The following is a 17,501-nucleotide window of genomic DNA, read 5'->3' as shown; positions in this document are numbered from 1 at the left end:
ACTATGCTCCTCAACAAGCCCGTCTTTCATTAATGACAGATGGGAGTGACAGTGAAGGGACCTTTATTCTTTCCCTGACTGAATCTTCCCTCTCCACAATAATGCACGGTTATCCTCGAGCACATTTCTTGGAGGCAATTTGAGGTTTCAGTGTCCCCTAATGTCACACTGCCAAGCAGGAAAGGAAAGCCAGTGTTAACAATGCATCTCATTTTTCACCTAATGAGCACCAACACGCTTAGGGATGTGAAGGGTGAAGTCTGACCTGTCAGCTGCTGGCGAACACAGACCCATCAGTGTAAATCCCCTCCTGGGTGGGGGAGTGGGGTATTTCCCAGTTGAAGGGTGTTGTTCTTGGCTGAATAATTGACAAAACATTGACATGGTTCCTCCTCTTTTACGTCTATGGTTCTGGAAGAGTCTGGCACTGCCGTGCACAAGGCTGACCTCCCTCCCAGTCCAGGAGTTTCTTGGGATTCTTTGCACCCACAAAGCCTGCTCTGAGGGAGTGAAGCGACAGGGCCACCCCTTCTTTTGCCGGGAATAGAAGCTGCCTTCTATCAACTGTCCACCGCTGTGGATTCTCCCTCCTCTCCAGTTACAAAATGGAAACAGATGAATTCAATCAAACATAAGCCCCCGAATTATGGCTTCCTTTATACCTTGTGGTAAAGGAGTTTAGACATAATTGGCACATGATTTTCTCCAGCGGTTTCGAGTTGTTCCCAAACGTAAAAAGGAACCTTTCAGTTTGGGAACGAGATGGTTTTGTTTCAAACCAATCCATCATGCCTTCCGAAGGCAAAGAGGGTGGGTCTGCTGAATGGAACCAGGAAAGTGGTGGGTGGGTCACAGCCTTCATGGCTCTAATTGGGCAGATGTAGGCAGGCCGCAGGTCAGTGAGAAAAGAGGCACAGAACTCCCTTTTGGCGGTTGTGGGGGCTCTGGGGAGTGAGACTGTCAGAGTTGGGGTGGAGAGCCACTGATTATTCTGTTTCACCAGCAACACACACTTGGAAAGGGATATCAATTAACCCGCTATTAATCCCCCCATGTAATTGAGCACTGCAGTCTGTTATTGGACCATAAAATATAGAGGTAAGTCCTTCCCTTTTGCAAATCAAGGTCAACAGACACCCAAAACTCCACCTTTTACAGACCCTGCAGATAAAAAACAATCTCCACCAACAAACACTGCTGGCCCCAAAAAGCAGCATAGTCACCATTCAGCTATGTTTACACAAATCTGCAATGACAGTCAACATAGAAAACAAGGGTACACTTGGCTGTAAAAAGCTGGGTTTGGAGCCCAAGAGGTTTTCCTAAATTACTATTAACAAAGTCAACAGGTTAGTATGTTTTTCAAGGCTTCATCCAAATGGGGCACCTAGATAATGATCCTATTACATTAAGGTAAACAAAAGGGCGGTTGTGCACCCTAGGATTAGGAGGCATCTTAAAAGCTCTTTCATATTTATTTTCCACAATTTAGCAAGCCCGAAAGGGAAATGTTCAACTTCATTAGAGAGGAGTGCTTACATGTTGTAGAAACAACAGGTCACTCCAGGTTCTCCTGGCATTAAAGATTCATTTAGAAATCTTACCGAGGACATCGTAGGCCCCATATGGCTCAGCCTTTAGCAAGCTCTCCTAGGAGATAATGGATACAAATTTGAGATGATAGAACCATCAGCCAAGGAGAGAGAATTTCTGCCACAACCTGTTATTTACTTCTGGTTGGGGGCAAAGGGGCCTTTGTTTTCAAGAAAGTCTGGATTGATTGTGAACCAATAGTCTGCCAAGCTTAGGAAACCCAAATGTGACTCTTCTGGGTGCTGCCCTGAGTTTGGCTCCTATCCCATCTCCCTCTCAGACAAGCAGGAACTGGGAGCTCTGGTCCACAGAGGAGAGTCACGTGGCGGTAAACAGATCAGCTGCATCAATCCTGGTCAACACGGAGAGAGAAATTCTGAATGCAGATGACCCTCACACGTGTGCTTCAGAGCAGAGGCTAGCTCCAGTTCGGCAGATGAGGACATTAAAACTTGCAAAGCTAGTTTAAGGTAGCAATGCCAGGACATGGTTCAAGTGGAAATTGGGACCAGGTCTTACATCATACTCAGTGGCTTTTCTGCATCCCAAGTTGAGTTGTTGACTATTTAGCATGCAGGTCCAACTTCAGACCTCGTCCCAGGCTGCCCAGGCAACTTTCTCCAGGCCTCAGCAGGAAGCAAATGATCAAGACTCTAAGAATATGAGCAAAGGCACTTCATATTTGGAATCATCTCAGACCTTTTAATACAAAAGATCAACATGGACAGGCGTGCCCCTCATTTCCAGTCTAGCTCTAGCTGAAGTAATTGTTCTCTCTCTTCTCCATTCCTCAAATCCACTCAATCCCCCATCATGATTTGTTCTTAGAGATATGAAACAAATTTGTTTCTTCCCTCCATCACCACTGGCACCACCTTAGTGCGGGTGACAGCTTCTCTTACCTTGCCTGCTTCAGAACTGGCGTCCTTGTATCTGGGGTTGTGCCTAGAGATGGGCTGTGTCTTTTTCAGAGTGAACTTGTCAAAACCCAGATCTGGCCCCAACATGTGTTTCTTTCAAACCCCACCAAGTCATCCATTATACTACAGGATAAATCTCATTTCTTCAATAGCATACAAGGTTTTACAAGGCTGGCCTGACCTCCATCCATCTCAGCAGCCTGAGCTCTCACCACTCTCTGCCCCTTACTTCATGTTCCAGCCACTGCTGGAACTGCTTCTGCTTCCTTAGATAGATCATGCTGCCTCACTTTCCAGACCTTGTCTCATGCCGTCCCCTTCACAAAAAGTGCCTGCTTTTTCTCCTACATGTGACTTAATCCTACCCCATTTCTAAGGCCCAGACACTCCCTCCTCCTCTCTTCTCCTGCTCCTCCTTCCCCTCTCCAATACAGTCCCTCATTCCTCTGTGGTGCCACTGCATCCTGGCATGCATCTCTCTGCCACCACTGACATCATATTGTAGCATCATTATCCATGTGGGCACCTACCTTCCACACCAACTTGGGACAGAAGACTGAGAGTAGGCATGCTGTCCATGCACAAATGGCCAGACGAGTACTCACACTCACAATGAAAACACAAGCAAAATAGTGGATTTGCATGCCCACCCGCTTTGGATACAAATTCAGGTTTGCTTACTCTCTCTCTTTCCACAGCAAAATGGCCACACAACCATACCGAAGTGGCAGAAAGAAAAAGAAGAAAGCTTCCTTCCGGGTTCAATTCAGACACATCTACTGAGGATGTTTCAGGCAGATGTGGAAGAACATCAGGCTGGCATTTGAGGGGCAAATAGCTTTGTGAGGAGCCTACTATTATTATCTCCTTTTGGGAATAAAGGGATTTGCAGGTCAAACAGATTTAGGAAATACTGCATAGTGTTATATTGAAAGCTCTGAGAGGTCCTGCAGTAAGTTAAAAGTATATATGGATATATTTTACAGATAGGGTCTTGTTATAACACCAGGCTGGTCTCGAACTCCTGTCTTCAAGTGATCCTTCCACCTCAGCCTCCTGAGTAGGTCTTTAATCTAACATTTTTGGCATGCATTTGATCACAGTCCCTCCTTCCCCTTCCCTTTTCTACACATCATCCAGAGGACTTCATTCTAAGCACACGTGGGTAAATGCTGGCTTAATGGAAATGTGTGTAAGCCACAGAATCAAGCAGACCCTGCTTTCAATATCTGCTTCGCCATCTCTAACAATGAAGGCAATTCATTTAAATTATCTGAACTGAAGTTCCCTCACCTCTGCAAAACACGGACAGTAATATCAGCCTGATAGGCTGTCGTGAAAATTAAAAGAGATACCTTAAGTAAACCACCTGGCACTTATTAAGTACTTAATCATTGCTAGTTTTGCTTGCTTTCCCCAGTGTCATCCTAGATGTCTACGCTAGAGCCATGTCTACATGGCCTTAACACCTCTGGCAAAGAAGCAAATGCCAGCGGCACGACAACTCACTTTCTAGGGCACCAAACAAACATTACACTTTACTGAAATGTTTGACTAAATTGACCTGAAACAATATCTACTACAGGCACACCATCAAACCCTCCTTTTCAAACTGGCTGATCACTATTTCCAAATAAGGACTCCTTTTGTGCCATGGATATCATGGATGTCATGTACCACGACACAAACATGAAAGTATCCTGTCCTGGCGCCCATGAGACGCGCAGTGGGGAATTAGCCCCCAGCTTAGAGGATTGGGGCCACCAGGGTATCATTCAGAACACACAGCAGACACAACTTTCATTTTATTTCTCTTCCTTTGAATAAAAATGTGTCTGATGCTTCACCTACAATGAAAATATTCTACAAGTTGTAAAAAACAAAAGTATTAACACACTTCATAGACATGCATAACCATGAGATAATTGTGCTTCTCAGTTCGTTGATATCACCCAACCCCCAAACCAGGGGTTATAATGTGTGCCTTGTTGTGTGGTAGTTCCCCAAAATATTATTCATGGGAGGTTTATAATAACAAAGCATTACCATAATAAATAGTGGTCACAAGAGTCTTCTATCGAGAAGAAACCTGCGAACCTTGCTCATATTCCCTAACCTTGATTCAAGATTAAATTTCACTCTTTCAATCACGGATTCTAAATCCTAAGAACTCTAAACCTTGAAATTGATACCCTTTTTTGAAAGAAAAATTAGATCGGAACTGTCAGAAGGAGTGATCAAAATGACATGAAACAAATCAGATGACGTGTGTGTAAGAGGTTTTCTTTAGTTCAGCTGTCAGGAAAACACTGAAGTGTCTTATCTCTCCCAAAGCCCCAAAGCCAGTGTCCCAGGCCAAGCAAGCCAAAATTGTTTTAAGAAAAAATAAAGGCACAAAAGACTTCTTAGGAAATTCAAATTTAAAGTGTTACTTAAGCTCACAGCTTGGACCTGTCAGAAATGGGAAATCCAGGATGGTGGTAGGCAAATGAAAGAAGAAATTATTTATACTAAAGCTCAAATCCTGTTAAAAAGAACTCTAAAGAGACCAGAGTTGTTTAATTATTCTACCCTATTACTCTATCAAATATTCCTTGAAGTAACTGGGTCAGGATTTAGACCTTAGAAATTTAATTACTATACATAATTTTGTTGGAAGAGCATTTGTTAGAATGCTTTGATGGAAAAGACAGCCTACTTTTTAAAAATCCCTTTATAATGAAATACAGTATTGGCAACTTCTCTTGAGGGGTCACTCAGATCACTTAAAATGGGTAGTGCAGGCCAGGCACGGTGGCTCACGCCTGTAATCCCAGCACTCTGGGAGGCCGAGGCAGGCGGATCACCAGGTCAGGAGATCGAGACCATCCTGATTAACACAGTGAAACCCCATCTCTACTAAAAACACAAAAAATTAGCCAGGCACGGTGGCGGGCGCCTATAGTCCCAGCTACTCAGGGGGCTGAGACAGGAGAATGGCATGAACCCGGAGACAGAGTTTTCAGTGAGCCAAGATTGCGCCACTGCACTCCAGCCTGGGTGATAGAGCAAGACTCCATCTCAAAAAAAAAAAAAAAAAAAAAAAAGGGCAGTGCAGCAGAGGTAAATCTGTAGTTAACCAATGTGGGAGTTATTGATTATTAGACCTGCTGTGTTCTGAAAGTGAATTGGAAACCCATTTGCCTTAAACCTTACAAAAAATATTCAGCAAGGGTTTGTATATGCATGCCTGTCATTGTAAGGACAATGTCATAATCACAGTAGAGAGAAGTACTGGTTCCCATCATTCACTGCTCCCTTGCTCTAGCCTCACTGTGGCTGGGTGCACCTCCCTGCCTGCATTGGTAGGGTTCAATCAAAGAAGCAGAATCATGGTGAGGGGCATACTGGATTTCTTACAGAGATCAGACCTTATGTAATCTTGGGAGTGGGGTAAGCAGCCCATTTCAGGATGTTGTCCTTGCGTCTGGTGCTAGACCCGAGCACTGGCAGACAGGAAGGAAAGCTGGATGTGAAGCGAGGAAGAGCAGTGGTAAACCAGAGGCCACAGGATGAGCTAGATGCCACATGGTTGTCTCACTGCCTCCAAGCCTCCAACATTCACACAGAATGACAGAAAAGCTCGTTCATTTCTCCATGGAGTGGCCCTTGAACACCACCCACAATTTGAGGAAGCTGAAGGAGACCAGGTGGGAGCTAAAGGAGGTTGTGAGCTGACTGCTGCCCCTGTGCCAACAAGGCGAGCCAGCAGGTCCTCGCCGGTGATCGCAACTGCATAGATATGACCATAGCTTGACTTCTGCTTTCCAGATCTTTTGCAAATTTCTCTTTCAGCCAACCCTACTTCACACCCATAAAGAGAGGGACATTCTTGGAAACACAGTTTCAGCTTAGCTAAAGCCACCACACTTCCCCATGGCTTTGAGTTCAGCCATGTGACTTGCAGAGGTGATCGTGTACCAAATCTATGTTCAGAACTTAAGAGACTCTAAGTGCCACCTGACCACTTGTACCATCTTGCATAGAACTGAAGTGAGAAGCACAGCAAGCCCATTGCAACCCCAGCGGCCACAGCCTAAAGCAGAAGACGCCAGCCAAGCCCAGACTAGATGAGCTGAACTGAGGCCAAGCTGCAGATGTATGCTCAACAATAAATGACTGTTGAAGGCACTGAGTTTTGGGAAGTACCTGATACAGACTTACCTTGACTTTGATGATTAAGGACCCTCTAATTACTGATCCCTCTCATGATCCCCAATTCCTGCAAGGTACCAGGCCCCTATTGCCCATAAGCACACAGCCATGAAGACTGAAACCCTGAAGCAAGAATTTAGTCTATCCTCCTAATTTCGGGAATCCCCTTTTTAAAAGCAGTTGGGGTGTACATGTATAAATTCAACATTAATCCCAACTACAGCCACAATAATACAAAACCTTGAGAAAAATAGTTAAAGAAATAAAGTCCTGCATGAAGACAAACATAAAATCTGACTTAGGAACATGAATAAATGGAAAGGCACGCAATGTTCTTAAGTGGGAAGACACAGTGTTGACAAGAGGCCAGTTCTCCAAATTAAATTATGAATGTAACATAACTCCACTTAAAATCCCAGTGGGATTTTGGGGTGGAGAAAGCTCGGTAACATCATGAGGAAAGTGAAATGTGTGAGAATAGTCAAGAAATACCTTTCAGAGGTAAGGTCTTTGAATCTTTGAATCTGCTTCTGATGGCGAGGGTCCTTCTGGCCCCAGGACCCCATGAATCCTTGCCTCAAAGACCTTCACTTCTTTGCCAAGGAAGCCTGCATAAAGAGACTCAATAAAAGCTGATGAGATAAACACATAGTCACACACACACACACACACATACACAAATAAAAATCTTTTTTAAAAAACATTTGTTTGAATTTCTTTTTTTAGGCACACATTTCCATTCTTTAAGTTACTTCAAAAGTCTGGGAGCTGTGGCTTGTCCCTGGGCAAGAGGGAACAGAAAGAGGCAACCAGTGGCTCCCAAATGCACCCCTGGATATGCAGAAGCTGTGTCAGCTGCTTGGTTGTGATTTTGACCTAACACAGAGCTGCCCAGACCAGGGGTGAACAAGTGATGTCAGAAGTTTCAAGCCTTGTGTTGAATAGCACTGATGTTATTTAGGTTTAGTCTTTAAGAAAAAGGCTCCGCTGGCACTCAAAAGCCCCTGTTTTCAACCACAAAAGCCCTGAGTGTCAAGGAAATCATGTGCTAGCCACTAACACTCAACTGTGGATTTTCCTGACGGCTAGACTATTTTTATGCATGTAGTATTGGCTACAGTCTTTGGAGCCAAAGGTTTTACTGCCATGCAATTTCATAAGAAAGCTCAAGCATCGATTTGACATTAGTTAACAGATCATCCCCAGCTCCCTCTATGGGGTGAGGCCAAGGGGGACCCAGAGGTCAACCTTGGGGGTATTCTACTCCCAAGAGGCTGCAGCTGAGGGTGGGGGCTGCAGATGGAGTTAGATAGGCGGATAATCCACAGAGCTGGAGGTGGTTAAGGCAGTTTAGCTGGGAGAAGGGAGAAGGCTCAACAGTAAAGCACCCTGGGTTGAAATCCCTCCTCTACAGATCCTATCACTCTAAGCAAACTGCTGGGTCTCTCAGGGACCCTACTTCCTGCCTGTAGAAGGGGGGTGATGGTGGCTGTTGACAGATCCTGGTGAGAATTATCCTAAAAAGTTATGTAAAGCCCTTACCACTGTGCCTGGCACACACAGTAGTGCTCCACAGATACTTGTATGTATGTAATGAATGTTAAAAGCAGTATTAGAAGTGCTGGACTAAAGACACATTCAGTTCAGTAGGCACCAGGGGTGGGATGGGGCTATTAATTTAGCCTGTTTTGGCTTAGGCTTCTCACAGTAAGTAATGTTTCAGCTGGAACTTCAACAATGAATGGGGGCTGGGCACAGTGGCTCATGCCTATAGTCCCAGCACTTTGGGGGTCCAAGGCAGGAGGATCACTTGAGCCCAGGGCATTGAGGCTGCAATGAGCTGTGATTGCACCACTGCACTCCAGCCTGGGTAACAGAGCAAGACCCTGCCTTAAAAAAAAAAAAAAAAAAAAAAAAAAAGGATTTCAGCAGCTAATGATGAGGGAGGCTCTCCAGGATAGAGAAAGAGCATGTGCAAAAGAGAGGAGGTTGAAAGAGGTGTGAAGGGAGGTGAGGGGAGAGCAGTGAGGCACCAGGGCAGCTGGGTCCAGGTTGGGGGCACCCTGTGTGCCACAGGGAGGATCAGTGAGCAACCAGAGAGGGTTGTGAACTAGGGGTGATCCTCAGTCAGATAACATCACCTTCTTATGCCACCTTTCCCTTCTCAACCTGAAACCTTCACAATTACAGAAAAGTAAGCACAGGGTGACCAAGAAGCAGGTGGCCCAGAATTCCCTTGGCCACTGCTTTGTGTGACGTGATCTTCCCACCGTAGCCTGGCCAGGCCATGCCCGGTTGCCAGGCTGTTCCATCAAGGACTCTCACCATCCATTTTCCCAGAGCCCCTTCAGCTATCATAAGAAAATATTTTTCCACTGGGAGTCTACTAAATGTCATGTCTAATTTAATCCTAAATACATTTCCATACAAAAAGGAGTCAAATGAGTAAACCTCTTCTATGTTTCCTGATTTCTTGTTTCTCTAGGCCTTCACCCATATCTCCATTCTGTCTCTCTCTCTCTCTCTCTTTTTTTTCTCCTGGGGAAGTAGAAGTGGATGGGGAGGAGAGAAGGAGGATCCTGTCACTTACTAATTCGTTTTCCATCCTCAGCCCTGGATTTCATTCTCTCTGAGTGGGACAGAACAGATGGAATTGTGCCAAAGGGAGACTAACTTATTTATCCCGAAAGCGTAAATTACCCCCAATTATCAGAATCCCAGTTACATCCAAGTAAGCCCCTCTGCCTCTCCTCAAACATTTTGGATTTCTCAGCTGTTCATTTAAGTTTTAATGGGGTAGTGAGAGGTTAGAAAGTCGGGGAGAAATTGAGCTTTGCTGTAGATTTAAGCCCCCTCCCCCTTCCCCCTACACTGAGCTCTTCCCTGCTCTTCCTCGTGGGGGACCTGAAATGATTCTGATTAGCAGCAGATGGTGGGAAGACCCCTGGTGGGGACAGGAGACCTGGGCTTAGTGTCAGCTTGCTGCTGAGTTCCCATGTGGCACCCAAGTCTCACATGTCCCAAGACTCAGCTTCCGCATCTGCAGGACAAGGGATTCCAAGGATTCTCACCAATACCTCTTCGCACCCTGACTGCTATAATTTCAAGATTCCAACCAAATTTACCTTTTGTTTCTGAATCATCTCGTTTGATTTAAAATTATTTATGGAAACCTTCTGTGATGTGTGCATTAGTGCAATGCCACTCAGAGTGTGGCCACAGCCCCAGGCCTGTCTGTGCATTGTTCCCGGTCTGTGTTAAGGTAACTAGGAAAGTTGAAAGTAAGCATTTAGAAACTCTATGGCAATTTGACATGGCCAAAACCTCCAAGCAAGTGACTAGGGACCTCGTTTGTTTGAGCTTGCATGGTGAGTTGTTTGTCGCATCAACTATGTTGTACACAATTGGACCTTATGTAAAATGGAAATAAAAAAGAAACAAATACTGCAGCTAGGTGATCAAGGTCAACATCAACAGTCATGCTGATAGTTTGTGCCGTTAAATATGATGTAATAAAAATGTCACTTTACCTCTGTAGTGTTCCTGCTAATAACCCTTAATTCCAGTTTTTTTAATGTTAGAGACAGGGTCTTGCTCTGTTGCCCAGGCTGGAGTACAGTGGCACAATCATAGCTCACTGCAACCTCAAGCTCCTGGGCTCAAGCAATCCTCCATCCTCAGTCTCCTAAGTAACTGGGAATACAGGTGCACACCAGCAAGCCTGGCTAATTTTTAAAATTTATTTTTGTTGAGACAGGCCCTTGCTATGTTGCCCAGGCTTTTCTTGAACTCTTGGCCTCAAGCATCCCTCCTGCCTCAGCCTCCCAGAGCACTGGATTTACAGGTGTGAGCCATTATGCCTGCACCCAGCCAATTCCATTCGTATGACCAAAAAAAAAAAAAAAAAAAAATCACACAAACTCCAACAATGGAGCATTCTACAAAATACTTGACCAGTACTCTTCAAAACCGTCAAGGTCATCAAAAAAGAGGCAAGTCTGAGAAACAGTCACAGCCAAGAGGAGCTACAGATACATGATGAGAAAATGCAATGTGGTGTCCTGGAGGGAATCCTGGAACAGACAAAGGACATTTGGTAAAAACCTAAGGAAACAGAAATAACTACAGACTTTAATTTATTTTTTAAAAAAGGAAAGAAACAAACTAGTCCTTCCCACAGATAATTTAAGAATTGCTCTAACATAGATTAATTTATTAAATCTTCATAAAAGCCCTGGGATGTATGGAAAGTAAGTGGTCTGTTTCCCATTTTATAGATTTTTATGAATGAAGTAGCCCAGTCTAATGTTATTTAGTGAGTTATAAAAGAACAAAGTCTGAGCCCTCTTCTCCTGGCTTCTGTTCTCTCTCTTTGGCTTTTCCAAGTAGATGGACATTTATCCAAGTTTATGTTCTTTTTCTGATTATGAAACAACCCATGGTTGGCGTAAAAAAATCAAAAAGTATATACAAGATAAAGAAACATACTTTTTAAAATCATTCATAATCTCTAAAGTCAGAGCAAGCAGCTGCTAACTTTTAGATTTCCTTCGTGTGTGTTTGTGTGTGTGTGTTTGTTTCCTAGGCACTTACCACTCCTAAGTGTGAAAGGGAGGGAGTGGGTACTAGAACCTAAAGAGGGAGAGAGAGAGGGAGAGAGAGAGAGTGCTCGTGTATGCTGTGTGGAGAGGGCCATCCCACAGGAGATCAGGAGATGGCCCTTGGGTGCCGGGATGCAGCCACCTGCTGGAAAAAAGAGTGAGGGAGAGAATAAGCAGGAACTTACGGGACAGCAGGACAGAGAGAAGCTTCCTCTAGACCACAGTAGCCATGGTCTGTAAGCAAATAAGAAGGCACCCGTTGAAATGAAGGGACTGAACATGCAAGAAAGAAAGGGCTAGATGGTGACACAAGGCACTAAGGAAGTAAGAGGGATGGCATCAGGGATGGTGTCAAGAGCTATGGGAAGAGCCCAGCAATGGAACAAAGAAGGGACTAGATTTCTCAAAATCAAAATGAAACAAGAGAAAGGGTGAAAATACAGTGATTTCTGGGGTGCAAAGGACATAGCTCAAGTCAAATGACCTCATCTTTTTAAATTTTTTTGTAAAGTAAGATTTGAGGTCACCTATGACTGAGAAGGGGGCAAGAATACAGTCAGAGTTCTGGAAGGTAGAGTAAGTTTTAAACATCTGCTGTAGGGATTTAGCCAGAGAACTCATAAGAAATTAATAAGAGCAGTTTCTAGCACAACCGAGGTGAGAAGTGCGTCACTTCTTAGCTGTGTCAGTAGAACAATGGCTACACGTGAACAAACTGTGACCTCAGCACTGGTGCACCTTTGACCTTATGACAGCAAAACCTTCAAGGAAGCCCAGTAGTCACCAATCAGTTCTCCCAAGCCTGGCACCATCTGCTTCATCTGCAAAGGCCTGAATTCAACAATGTGACTCAGCCTGAGCTGCACTTGTAAGCACTGTTAGCCAGAGAAGAGATGTGCCTGTTACCTAAATTTGCATGGGGTGGTATTCCAATGAGGAACCTGAGGTCATGAAAGAAAGCAGAACCTGTTGGCTGGGCACAGTAGCTCACACCTGTAATCCCAGCACTTTGGGAGGCTGAGGAGGGCAGATCATGAGGTCAGGAGCTCGAGACCAGCCTGACCAACATGGTGAAACCCCGTCTCTACTAAAACTACAAAAAAATGAGCCAAGCGTGGTGGCATGTGCCTGTAATCCCAGCTACTCAGGAGGCCGAGGCAGGAGAATTGCTTGAACCCAGGAGGTGGAGGTTGCAGTGAGCTGAGATTGCACCACTGCACTCCAGCCTAGGTGACAGAGCGAGACTCCATCTCAATTTAAAAAAAAAAAAAAAAGATAGATAGAAAGCAGAATCTGTTACAAAAAAAAAGCAAAAGAAAACCACAGCAAGAGCTGAGTACAGTAATTTAAAGAGTGGAATAGAGCAGGCCAGGAGGTAGTATGGATGTATCCCCAGGAGCCAGAAGGAGAGAATCTTCTGATAGGTCTGGCAGGCACTGCTGGTTGTCAAACTGTTATGCTGTCTCCCCTTCTTCCTTAGAAATGGGTCCCACCTTTGTTGCGGACAACACCATACCCAGCTAGAAGGCAATACGTACATTCCTCCTGTGCAGATGGAATAGCATGTGATATAGTTCTAGCGAAGTTATATAAGCTGAAGTCATTGGATGAAGTTTTCAGAAAATCTCCTTAAAATGTGGGGACAGGAGCAGAGGAAGAAGACGGAGCACAGACTCAGCTGTCTCCAGCTGTTTCATGCTTCATCTGCCCCCTTTGCTTGCCTAGAACATGGGGAAGATGCCAGAGGAGAAGTGGGAATAATCTTGGTCAGTGGTAAACAAAGCCAAGAGAACTCCAAGAACCTGGATCTCAATGTCCCTGAGGACAACTCCATGATCACAGCTGCATGCTACAGACTGCTTCTTACCTAAGAAAAATTGAACCAGTCATCTGTGTAGGGCTCTGCCTTGGGGGCCTCGGTTTCTCCCAGCCGAATATAATCCCCAATTCATACCTTAAGCAACTTTTCATTTCAATCATTAATTTAGAAATAGTGTGTCAGATATTTGATGTACTAGAGTTTCATGTAGCCATTGTTCCTTGAAAGAACCCAGCCATCATTCTTTGGGGACTTAGAAATCCTTTTGCACAACTGAGATTTTGTTTTGGGGTGTTTGTGCTTGCCGTAAAGCCAGTTGATCTACATACATGCACAACGTATGATAAGCATGAAGCAGCCCAACTGGTTTTATTAGTTTTCCTTGGGCTTTGGTCTAAAAAGGTTTCTTGCTGAGTTGATTTCACCCCCGATAACTTCCTTTACACTCAACTTCCTAATCGAAAAAGGCCCACATCAGGGGTAAAGAAACAGAGACTGATCCTTTCCCAACCCTCTCCTGGGACTCCTCAGCTCTTTACTACACCGCTGGGCTGGCTTAGCAAAAGCAATTTGATGTCCAGAATTTCCTGGCAGCCTTCCACAACTCTGTCTGCCTCATCAGAAAACTCCAATCAGTGAGTCTGTGGCTAAACGCAGTCTGATCTCACTGGTGGTGTTGCCACACTTTGTTCTTTTTCTAATGTGCTCTGTGTTCACAATGGTTTTGTTCTTTTTTAGTCATGAAAGCTGACATGATTTTGGAAAGTGAAACATGCTTCCCTAAATCTTTGCTCATACCCCCTCAGGTGAAACTCTCCAAGTCATTAACCTTAAGGCCATTCTCGTTGTGGGAGGGCTTTTTGTATTGGATTCCAAGAGCTACCATTCCCATAGCCTAGATTTAAAAATTGGTGTTAGTTGCAATGTAACTGCTTCAAGCTAAAGCAAATAGAGAAAGTCAATACATAAAAGCAATAAAAGTGGAGGTGTTCTGATTAAAGTGGAGGCCTGCAAGGGTGAAGAGTATGAGGGAAAGACTGTTGAGAGCCTCTCCAGGTTAACCATACCCTTCCTCCAAAAGGATCTCCATGGGGAATCCTCCAAGGAACCATAGGATTCCCGGGAATACAGCCTGAAAACCACTTTGCCATAGGCCTAGAGTGGCAAGAAGATGTTTCATCATCATCTTCAAGATAAGCAAGCTAAAACCACATTGAATCTAGGTGTATTAGTCCATTCTCATGCTGCTATGAAGAAATACCCAAGACTGAGTAATTTATAAAGGAAAGAGGGTTAATTGACTCAAAGTTCTGCATGGCTGGGTAGGCCTCCGGAAACTTACAATCATGGCGGAAGGGGAAGAAACACATCCTTCTTCACATGGAGGCAAGAAAGAGAAGAACAAGAAGTGCTGAGCAAAAGCGGAAAAATCCCTTATAAAACCATCTGATCTTGTGAGAACTCATCCACTGTGACAAGAACAGCATGGAGGTAACCACCCCCATGATTCAATTACTTCCCATTAGGTCCCTCTCATGACATGTGGGGATTATGGGAACTACAGTTCAAGATGGTCACACAGCCAAACCATATCACTAGGACACTGGGGACTCTTGATGAAAAGAGTCTGTTTCAAAACCTTCCCTTCATTTCCAAATTACACTGACCATTTTCAAGCCTCTTGCATTTTGTTTTCTGTCTTTATTCCCTCAGCTGTATTGAGATATACAAAAAATATTCTGTACTTACAGTGTTCAACATGATGCTTTGATATATGTAGATGTTGTGAAATTAGGATCACAATCAAGCTAATTGGTATATCTACCACCTCATGGAGTTAGCTTTGTGTGCATGTGTATAGTGAGAACATCTCCTCTCTTAGCAAATTTCAAGTATATAATACAGTACCATTTACTATAGCCACCATACTGTACATTAGTTCTCCAGAACTTCACAGAAACTTTCTGCTCTTTGATCAGCATCTCCCAGAAACTACTATTCTACTGTCTGCTTCTATGAGTTTGACTGTTTTAGATGCCACCGATAAGTGAAATCATATAATATTTGTCTTACCATGTGTGGTTTATTTCACTTAGCATAATGTCCTCCAGATTCATGTGTGTTGTTGCACTTGACAGGATTTCCTTCTTTTTTCCTTCTTTTTAAAAGCTGAATAGTACTCCATTACTCCATTGTGTATACACACCACATTTTCTTTATCCAATCATCTGTTGATGGACACTTAGGTTGATTCCATATCTTGGCTACTGTGAATAGTGCTGCTATCAACATAGGAATGCAGATGTATTTTTGAGAAACTGATTTCATTTTCTTTGAATATATACCCAGCAGAGGAATTTCCAGATCATATGGTAGTTCTAGTTTTAATTTTTTGAGGAACCTACTGTATTCCATAATGGCTGTATCAATTTACATTCCTACCAACCGTGTACAAGGTTCCCTTTTCTCCATATCCTTGTCAACCCTTGTTATCTTTTGTTGTTTGGGTTTGTTTTCAATGAGCTTGAAAGTTTACAGGCTTGCCAAACCTAAATGGATTTGGATCATTACCATGGCTCCCTAACATTTTCTAAGTTGAAAAATAATGAGCTTGCTATATAGGCAAATGACCAAATCACACAGTGATTCAGAATTAGGGACTGGATTAGGGGACACAACCTCTGTGGTGTCATGCTTAGTCATAAACAATAGATACTCCCTCACTCCCAATGACAAATTATGTTTCCTTTATGTGTTTAATGTTTTGTTTTGCTTTTCTCCTGTATCTATGTATGGCTCCAAATGAATCATTTTCTCAGATCTCTTTTATTCTAACTCTCCTCAACATACTATAGTCATTCAGAAACAGACACACCTAACAAGAGAAAAAGCACAGAGCCAACAGAAACTCAGTTTCCTTACCAGCAAAATGGGAAGAATAACACACTGTATTTTCTGGAGTAGTCCTGGGAACCAAGTGAAATAAGGTCAAGTGAAAGCATAGTGTCCAGTACATCCTGAAAATTCAATTTAAGATTTTATTTTCTCCTCTGTCCTTCCACATGCCTTCCAGGGAAACATGAGAGGCTGTGTGAGTCCATTCTTGCACTGCTATAAAGAAATACCTGAGACGAGATAATTTATAAAGGAAAGAGGTTTAATTGGCACACAGTTCTTCAGGCTGTACAGGAAGCATGATACTGGCACATGCTCAGCTTCTGGGGAGGCTTCAAGAAACTTACAGTCATGGTGGAAAACGAAGGGGAAGCCAGCACATCTTACATGGCCAGAGGAGGAGGAAGGGTGGAGGGAGGCACTACATACTTTTAAACAGACAGATTTCATGATAACTCACTCACTCACTGTCTTGACCAAGGGAGATGGTGCTAAATCATTCATGAGAAACTGCCCCCATGATCCAATCACCTCCCACCAGCCTCCACCTCCAACATTGGGGATTACAATTTGACACGAGATTTGGGTGAGGACACAGATCCACACCATATTAGAGGCCATGGGTAAAAATGCTCTGAATGATTTAGAAAACTAAAAGCAAGCAAGTGCTTAGAACTCTCAGGTTCAAGACCATGGGTAAAGCTCTACACTGGAGCCCTCTGAGCTCAGCCTATTTGTGTCTCCTCGTCTGCAGACACACCAGCATTCACTAGCTCTTTCTCAATTGTCAGTCCTGAGTGACGGACCTTCCACACCTGCAATGATGTGTCTTTGTTCTCACTCTAACAATACAGACTTCCATTTTATTCTGGAAAAGTTGGCTCCTCAGAAAGGGTTTCCTTTGACCAACAGTGGAGTTGAATGTTAGAGCAAGGAAAATGTTTCCCATTTCCTCCTCCGATTTGGATCCATTTGTGACCAGGACCTCAAGTGGCATCACATTTAACGTGGGACAAAAGAAGCCATTTCCACTCAGGCCTCATGCTGCCCACTGTAAAATTCCACCACAAAGCTGTTTTCAAATTAATCCAATAGTTAGAAGCTATAATGCATTCTGTTTTTGATTTTAAAATTCAAATATATGCATGTATGCACATACACACACTTATGTGAGTACACGAAGATTTTGGTAGCATCTGGTAGAAGAAAACTCCAATTGCTGTCTGCCCTCTAATTCCATCTCACCTTTCAAAGACTCTAGGAAGGTTTGCCGTCTGCCTCCTGCCAAAAACTGGAGGTAGCAGTGGGGAGAGAATGAGTATATTTTTATTTTCTCCTTTAAGCTGGGCTCAGCGCTAGACACTTAACCCGACTTGAACCTATGCAATAGCCCTTAAGCTCAAGTATCATTATTGCCATTTTAAGGTGAAGACAATGAGGCCAAGTATTGCAAAGTTCTTGCTTAACTCTTGGCAAGTG

At 43.7% G+C, this 17,501-nt stretch overlaps 1 annotated feature.

Annotated features, from left to right (window-relative positions):
* Positions 15,523-16,722: an enhancer, noted in NCBI's record as "CDK7 strongly-dependent group 2 enhancer chr7:33811963-33813162 (GRCh37/hg19 assembly coordinates)". NCBI's record gives its function as "activates an origin of replication core promoter dependent on BRD2, BRD4, P300/CBP, MED14 and CDK7 cofactors, with strong dependence on CDK7, by STARR-seq in HCT116 cells {active_cell/tissue: HCT116}" and the evidence as "EXISTENCE:reporter gene assay evidence [ECO:0000049][PMID:35650434]".

The sequence above is a fragment of the Homo sapiens genome, chromosome 7, assembly GCF_000001405.40.
Source record: "Homo sapiens chromosome 7, GRCh38.p14 Primary Assembly".
NCBI lineage: Eukaryota > Metazoa > Chordata > Mammalia > Primates > Hominidae > Homo > Homo sapiens.
Note: the sequence above shows the minus strand (reverse complement) of the source record. Positions and strands in the feature narration are given on the sequence as shown.